This window comes from Homo sapiens, chromosome 9 (assembly GCF_000001405.40).
Source record: "Homo sapiens chromosome 9, GRCh38.p14 Primary Assembly".
Lineage (NCBI taxonomy): Eukaryota > Metazoa > Chordata > Mammalia > Primates > Hominidae > Homo > Homo sapiens.
The window spans coordinates 73,804,220-73,813,889 of record NC_000009.12 but is presented as its reverse complement, the minus strand read 5'-3'; positions in this window follow the sequence as shown (position 1 = coordinate 73,813,889).

Genomic DNA, 9,670 nt, shown 5'->3' with positions numbered 1-9,670 from the left:
TCCATCATAGGAAGCACACCATTTCATTCTTAATCCAGATAAAGATCTTCCTTCCTTGTCTGCATTTTTTTTCTTGCAAAATCATGATTCTTAAACCTATGGAATGCCTTAATCAGACAAATTCATTTAAAAACCCAACAGCTCAGTGACTATATACAAAGTGTCATAGAAATATGTTGATTTACTCACGTAATGAAATCATAATTGGAAAAGTAGATGAAATCGGAGTCACCAAGTGATTTAAGTCTACCCATCTTAAAATAAATAGTAAATACTCATAATGGGCACAAAACATGAAAACAATGTTGCATGTGAATTCTCAGCAAAAAGATACCTCATTAGAAGATGTTCTTAATAATAAAGTGATTAAGATGACCCATGGTGATCATTTTTTTTCTGCAACTCATTTTGTGGTCATAGCCATTATTTATGAGTATCTCTTTTTCCACTAGCCATTTCTTATTACGTCTGCGCTCAGCAAGCAACCCAGGTGTATATGATTTCTTGCCTGGTGGGGCGACCTAATTTAGAAGTTATGTAACATCCTAAATACCCTAGACTTTCAAGGTGTTGCCTCCCAAATGGTGCTTTAACAGTCTTTAGAAGTCCATTACACAATTCTCAGAGTGATGGAGAACATGGTAATATCAGTTAATCCTGTGAATATGAGTTCATTGCTATATTTCATTTTTTATTCAGCATTCTTTGGTCAGATAATAAATTTCTTGGTCAGAAGCAATCCTGTATGCAATAAGGTGACAGCGATTAAGGTATTCTATAAGTTTAAGAATGATGATTTTGCAAGAAAAAAATGCAGACAAGGAGGGAAAATCTTTATCTGGAATAAGAATGAAATGGTGTGCTTCCTATGATGGAAATGGTCCAATGTAATTAACTTGCTAAAAGGTGCCTGGCTGATCTTTTAGGTGATGGTGTCTTATCAGACACTCAGTGTGGGTCTCTCCCATTGGAAGTTTGGCTATTCCACTGTTGGTAGGTAACATGGCCTTTGGAAGTGGAATTCAGTGTTGCATGAGTGACTCTCAGAAGAAGCTGGTGCACTTCATCAGAGTTGACGTTTGACTCAGCATTAGGAGAAGGTAAAGTAGGAGATCAGGTTAGAGCTGGGGAAGCTGGGGTTCTGGATGCAGCCCTCACTAAACAGGGGAGGTAACAGATTAGTGACAACACACACAAGTTGCCGCAGGGCCTGGCACCTTTTACCAACCTTCAAAGCTAAGAAGTATGGCTCCTGCTTTTTTTCCCGTGCTTCTAATACAATGAAATGTGTCTTTTATAGCCAATGCTAACCTGGAAAATTAGATTCTGGGAAACATGTTTCTGTGTTAAGTTGACAAAGAACAATATTACATTAACTTCTTTTATACTTTATTAATATGTAAATTTTCCTCATTTGATGTTTCTGTATAGAAAATACAGTGTCACCTGGACATGCAGAAGATGGAGTGAGTTTGTTAAATGGATGGCAGGTTTCCTGGTCCATGGATAAAATAAGGGACCATGGAATATTTTCTTATTTACAAAGAAGGCAAAGAGGGCCACCACTGAGTAGTAATGTAGATTAATACGATTGCTCTTTCAGTAAAAATTTTGTTGTCTTAAGGCAAATGTTAGCAAGGTGAAACTTTTGGAAGAAACACAAGTCTGATATTCCCTCAAAAAATCCATGAATTTCATTATTTGAATTTATGAACATTTTCTTATGACTAGATTGAATGATATAATTTAAACATTACTTAGAATCTGATAAGGGACTTTTTGTAAAAGTATTCATTGAGGCAGTGTTCTCAGGAGAATGTCATGATGGATAGGACAGGAATGAAACGCCAAACAAGAATGTAATCTCTACTGAATTCCACCTTTAGCTAAAACCCACAAGGAGCTCTAGAACACAAATAGAACCACAGAGATGAGCCCAGGTTGAGGCAAATGCGGCTCTGGTAAACCATCAGCTGCGGTGTGGCCTAGAGGTTAGAGTACCTGGCAGGGAAAGGTAGCTGTCCTTTGGACACAAGTAATTTTCTGGAGAAGGGAACAGCAAGTTCTTAGTCAAAAATCACAGTAGCTAGGAGATAGGTATGCCAGGTTAGTAAAGACAATCTAGGTAGAGCACCCATAGGGCATTTGTGTTTTACGTGGTTCATAATATGTAAAAACAAAACAAAACAAACAAACATCTTAGAGAACATTCCCAAATTCTTACTCTTATATTATCTACTATAATTGTTTCCCCAACACACACAGATTTTTTACTGCCATGATGGTACTTATTTTATTATCATTATTCCCACCCTGCCCCATCTCCCATGCACCATTCAAACTCTATTTAACCATTTCCAAGTCCTAAGTTCTTGACATACAAATCTCCCAACTACACACATGGAAGTGTGGTCCGTTTTCTACTCTGACTGCTTTCTCCTGTGAAAAGAAGTCATTCAGACACTGGATAATTCATTTTCCATCCTACTCAGTTACACTGAAGATCACACTGATTCAAAGTGAGTTGTGAAGAATCTGGAAACTTACACTAGGAGTGGGTAATGGTCTTGGTTCTAGCTTATCTATTTTCTCTGTCATACCTCAGGAGGTGTGGGTGCATTTTCTTCACATCCTCCAACTTAGAACAGGCTTTGCATTAAAATCTGTCCAGTGAATATTTGTTAAATCTACAAAATCCCTCAAATATGTGAAACCCCAGATACAATGCAGTTGTGGAAAACTCTGATTAGGCACAGACCTCAAAAAATGAACAGTCTGTTCCTTTGTGCAGATCTGGACTGTGCGTTCATTGGTTGCTACTCTATTGTGGCAGAGTAACTGTTGACCAATTTAAACCACAAAATGTCATAGGCACATGTTAAATCACATTTGTGCCTCGATATTTTGCTCCTGATTTCTTCTTGCACATGTTGAGATCCTCAGGATTGCCTGGTGCTGTTGGTGTCTCCATTGTAAAGAACAAGTTTGTTTTGTTTTCCCTCATCTAAAAGTTAAAAATATGCTCCTGTACCCATAACCTCTACCTGCCCCCATCTGCTCCAAAGATGTAATATGAGCTGAGCTTCTGAACTCCAACGTTATTTTGTTTTGTCATATGCATAATCATCCTGAAACAATTTGTTTTCCTCTCTTGAAAAACTGACTAGTCATATTGAGTTACTGTTAGGTGTAAGCAGAAAAAAAAGACAATTTTGGTAAAAAGAACTTTTAAAATGATGTGATTTTTCCATTATATTTTCAGTTACTATTTCCTTGACTAGTTCCCTTGATGAGTTTAAAATAGGGTAAAATTTCTCATGGGGGAAAAATATACAAACATTTAAATCCCTTTCATATTTTAAAACAAGGAAAGTTAATGCTCTTTTGAGGACAGATTTTAAGTGTTTAATTTTATACATTTTAATGATGCTATGTTTTGTATTTGAGAAAAATAATCATATTATTATATATAAGGTAAGAAGATCAATCCTTTGAAAGAAATATTCTAATATATTATTGACCTCTATTAAAAGGTCAACTTTCTTTGTAATACATTTCTTGCCTTTGAAAGAATGGTCTGTGGTAACATAAAGAGGTTTTAACGATAGATGCTTTTAATCTAGGAAGGGCATTGCCCTCATGTCAAAAGTTTTAACCCTTTGCACCACAGAAGACCAGTGGTTGAGATGTCCAGGTTTTTGTCTTCTGTTCTCCTCTCTTAATTGCCTTTTCTGAACGGCTTCATTTGCTTTGTCTTAAGGGTCACTTCTACATAGTTAACAAGAAAACATATTCTAATTTCTTCTCCAGGTTTCGCTTCTAATTTTCACCTTCATATTGGATATCTCCAATTAGGGTTCTCACTACTATCTAAAATTCAGGATTTATTATCTTTTCCTGTCAAACTAGTACAAACCGTTCATTTCATAATTTCTGCTAATAACAATCATTAGTCACCAGTTATTTAATATTAAAATCTTGAAACAATTTTTTTCTCTCTGACCACTCTTAAGCCCAGTTGATCTTTTTCACACTCCGTTTTTCAGATTTATTTCTTACTTTCTAATTTCAGGGACTTCATCCTCACAGTTTTCTCTCACTTTATATCTGAACCTCATCCCCTACTCTCATTTCTAAAATCTAATCAATCCTGCACTTCACTGTAAGATTAAAATTCTTAGTTTCACATCACATTCCCTGTATAGATTCCTTGTATAGAAGGTTTTGAGGAACTCCATAATCTAAACTACGGGAAGAAACCACATGTTTGGACTTAAACAGTAAAGCCTTCCAGCATGTGTGTATTATTCTCTTTTATCACATTATCTACCACTTCTTGCTAGTGAAAAATTCCTACCTCCAACCAAGTTAATTTTTTTGTATTGTCTCTCTCTCTCTTTTTAAAATTTATTGTATATATTTAAGTTATGAAACATAAATGTGAAATATTTTTTAAATGTTGAGTATACAAATATTGAAAATAAAACAGTGGTTACCAGGGGCATAGAAGTATGTGAATCCCTTGATTTTTCTTTTAAACAAAATATCATGTTATCTTGCCATGTTCTATAAATTTGCAAAGTTTTACAAATTTTATCTTAATAATAGCATCAATAATAACTAGTTTCAGCATTTAACTTCATTAAATTCTGGGAAAGTGCACTTTAGATAAAGGGGTATTTATCTATTTTACATGTCATTACGAAGGATGAGTAGTTAAGTTCTTGGATTGCTTGGATATTTTGTACTTTTTCTTAGTATTATTAGCTTCATTTCATAAGTCCCAGGAATTTCCTAAAGTCACACAGACAGGACATTAGTGCAAAACCAAGAAATGTTTTTTTTTTCCTCTAATGTTATTTTATTTCAGTTATACTCCCACTACCATATTGGTTGCCATTCACACCATTTACATCCGTTGCTACCTGAGAGCACCTCTCAATTTGCAATCTTTCTGATTGGTGTGGAGCAGAGGAACTGTGCTTTGCCCTAATTTAGCAAAGGGTTAAGACAAGTTAATAACTAGGGGCATGGGAACAGATTGCCTTGTTTTTGAATCTCAGCTTTGCCACCTATGGCAAATAAACTTGGATAAATGATGTAAAATTGCTGCGCTTCAGTTTTCTTATGTCTAAAATGGGGATGATAATGATAGCTATCTCACAGCCTGGATTGTGAAGAGTGTTCGATGAGACAACACAGTGCTTGCCATCTAATAAACATTATTTTTATTACCATTTACAACTGGCAATGGGGAGAGTAGTTTAGAGAGTGAAATCTATTCTCAGAGTTCTCTGTATCCCAAAGGCATTTAGATTTTAAATATGAACCATAGATGATGCATAATACAATGAAAAAATACATAATAATGGAATTTGAGGTATTCTAGACAACATTATGGCAATTATTGCATCATGTCAACTGAGTTACTTGCATTCTCATCATACATGGCCAGTCAGGAAATTTGTAATGATTAATTTTGTCAACTTGACTGGTCCAAGGGCGCCCAGATATTTGTTCAAATCTTATTTCTGGGTGTGCCTGTGAGGTTGTTTCTGGATGTAGTTAACATTAGAATCTGTATGCTGAGTAAAGCAGATTGTTCTCCCTAATGTGAGTAGGGCTTATCCAATCAGTTGAAGGTCTTAATCCAACAAAAGGATGGAGTAAGAGGAAACCTTGCCTGCCTCATTGGTTGAGCTGGGACATCCGTCTTCTGATCTCAGACTGGAACTTAAATAATTTGCTTTCCTGGTTCTCAGGCCTTCTGACTCACACTAGAATGATACCATCAGCTCTCCTGGGTCTCCAACTTGCTGACTACAGATCTTGAGAAAATTCAGCTTCTGTAACCATATGACACAATTTATTGCCATTAACCAACAAATTTATTGGTTCTGTTTCTCTGGAGAATCCTAACCTACACATACACAATGACATAGTAATACATCTGCTTGAAGTCAACTTATACTGATTAGTATTTGACAATGTGCTATGTTAATGTGTTAATTGTATGCATGTGTATTAGTTTACTTAATTCTCATAAGGCAGACATTCTTTGCATATTAGAGAAGTGGCTACCAAAGCCTTGAAAGATTGACTTTTTGAAGGCAATACTATTGGCAATTGGTGTCTGTGTACCACGCTCTTTCTTCTGGCTCCAAGATGAGCCTAGCTTTAAGAAAAGAAACTAGCATTTTCAAACTCAGAAAACAATTATTCTCTGCTTTGAGTGACTATTTTTCTAATGACAGCTTTTCCTACAGCTCTACTGTGAACTTCATTAGAAGGGGCACATATGTCCAAATTAACTCTTTTATTGCTTGGACATTTTTGTACTTTTACTTAGTATTATTAGCTTAATTTCATAAATCTTATAAGTTCAAATAAAATACTATTTTAAAAGTCAAGAAATCTTTGCATAAATATTAACATCTTCTAAAACTACAAGATAATTAGTAAAAGCACTCACTTGAAATCTTAAATTTTTGTATATGACCCATTGATCACATCTCTAGTTTTGAGTACATTCATCTCAACATTTTTCTACCTTCCGGGGAGATAATCTGGGGTTGTAGTTACAATAATGTCAAGCACAGTTCCCTGGACATTTTCAAAAAAATACTGGACTATTCTGATGACAGTTTGTAGGTGTGTGTCTATACTCCCATTGACCAATTTATGAAGTTAAACTAAATCCAGATAAAGCAGTTCAGGCAAATTGTCTGCCAGATGCTTAAGGAGCTATGTGGCTCTGACTTGCCAGAGTTAGCAGAGGAAAAGGAAGAACAAAGTAGTCAAAACCTTATCTCAGAACAGCCAAGAACATTCCATTCACTAGAGGCCAACGCTTGACATTCAGGGTCCTGTGCTTGGGACGCCTTTTCTTTTACTACTTGTAAACTGTCTTACATTGCTGAAGTCATTTTTTTTTCATTTTTGGTTTAGTTGTTCAGGACACTGTGCTTGTTTTTAGTTTATTTTGTTTGTTTTATCTCTTTAAAATAAACAAATAATTCTGTCTTAAGATCATACAGATAAAACACAAATTCTCAGAGATTCCTCCCTTGGTATTGACTACTCACATTGGGCCTTTAAGAAATTTCTGTAGGTAGCTAGATTTTTCTAAACCCATCTATGTTTTACTTATCAAATGTTATCACTGTAATTTATGTGGCATGGGGTTTTTAAGGCTTAATTTATTTGCACTCAAAATGCATAATGTATTTGGGATACTTTTCCTTCTTAGATTGCTATGACCTATGAATAGTTTAGAAAGCTAATAAGTAGTGTTCAGCTTTGCTAGCTCCAGAGAAGAAAACATTTTTATTAGTCATTGCCACCAGCATTGGAAAAGTTCAATAGTATCTTCTGGATTTATACTGAAACCATGGAGAGGTAGATACTATCCTGGATATTCATGTGGTCATTTCTTCAAAATGACTTGTCATGTACCTTCTTTCAACCAAGAATAGCTTTAGATGGTAGATAGATAGAGATAGATAGATAGATAGATAGATAGATAGATAGATAGATAGATAGATAGACAGATAGATAGATACATAGATAGATAGATAGATAGATACATAGATACATAGATACATAGATAAATGCCCACGTGTGTGTGTGTGTGTGCACATGTTTAAAGCCTTGAGAATATGGGAAGCCTTAAGAAGAGTTCTAATGGTGAACTGTAGAAATAAGAACATGAACTGTTACTCTGGACTCTAACTATGCTTCTGTGGCAAGATGTCTTTTCTATTCCTGGGCATTGACTCCTTCAATGATGACAAGTTCAAGGCAAAAATATGAGGGTTTGTAATCAGGAAAGAGCAGTCAGCACTATTTTCTAAGTATTCTCTTGGGACTATGATGTCTTCTCTAGATATAAAGAGATAGTAAGAAAGTAGAAAAAGAAAGTAAAACTAAGAAGTAAGGATTTTTAGCCAGTAGCTCCCTAAAAAAGACTCTGGAACATAATTTGGTAAGCCAGTTAATATTTTAGCATTATTCATTTGACAAATATTTACTGATTAATGAGTACATGCTGGTATTGGGAATATAGCAGTGTATCATTTGAGTCAAGTTCACATATGAATTCCAAAAAGCCTAATGTTACAATAACTTAAATAAGATGGACTTTTATTTCTAGTTCATGTAAAAATTTGGCTTCTTTTGTCTTGCTGCTTTTTTAGTTTCACTGCAGGACCATTGGCAAAAATTTCATCCATGATGACTGTATTCTAACTAATGGAAAGAAGAAAGAAATAAAGGAAGGGCCACCCTCTTCCCCAATCCTGATCTTCATAAATATTTTCCACAATGCACATAGAACACTTTTACTTGTGTCCCACAGGCCAGAACTTAGTAATATGGCAATAACAAGTACAAGGAAGTCTGGAAAATGTCTATTCTGAGTATCTATGTTTCTAGGTAAACATTTCCTAAAATATTTGAGGAAGTCAGTTTGTTTCATAAAGGCTCATGGAAATTAGGCAAATGGGTTTTTGTTGATATGTGAGCCAGAAATCTAGAGGAAAAAATGAATGCTAGTGATTATAGCATATTTGTGGCAACCAGAATTCAAGAGTGATTGTAGCAGAGCCAAGGCCACTAATGCAACAGCATTCTCTAGAGTTTCTTTTTCTAGGGCTTATCTTCTCTGTCAAAACCTTGGTGAATTCTGGAATGTGCGAATGTGATTGATGAAGATATTATTTCCTGGCATTACTGATGATGACATTTTACTCCCGCAAAGGACTGAGATGCATATCTGCAGGAAGAAAGATCTAAGATGTTAGTTGACTTAGAGATCAGTTTAAAGAAATAGGGTTTCTAGACCTCTAAGTTAATCCTGACTTACATATTAGATATCTCTTGACATAGTTAGCCAGTATTTTGAGTCAGTACAAAACAATATTTTTTCCTATATTTTAAGATGAGTATAAATTAAAGAAACACAGAAAATTCCAGGTTTTAGCTAAAATCCTATCTACATAAAACCCTACTTAAGACCAAGTTCAAATGTGCTTTGGATTGGGAGACTTGTCACTTTCAAACAAATAAAATCAACCTCATGTAAGTGACAAGGTATGTATCAAGGCTCTGTATATATTTACATTTTTATTTCACACATTCTCCAGGTAAACAGAGGAAATATTTTTAGTTATCAGACTGATGTTTAAATAATGTTAACTGTAATAAAATATTAATGAAATGTTGCATACTTTGAATATATTGCCATTCATAGGACTGCATCTTGCATATTAATTGGCATGTTTGACTCTTTCAGTGGAATAATCATTCAAACATATTGACTGAACACCTAACACCTGCCATATGAATTTACTACATTGAGAGTTAGAGGTATACATTGAAATAAAATATATTCTTTGCCCAAATAAAGTTTACAGTTAAGCTGAGTAAAAAGGAAGATCCAGGATAACTAATTATATAATGCAATCGATGCTAAATGCCAAATTAGTGAAACAGATAATAAATGAAATTTGTAGGAATCCAGGTAAATAAAAGATTACTTTAAAGATGGGGTGGTAGGGGTTCAAATAAAAACTATTTCTTGATATACTCATTGAAGGATGGGGAGAATTTAAATAATTTTTAACATACGCAGTTGTTTTAAGGTGAAATAAATTATTTTAAGTACTTTGGA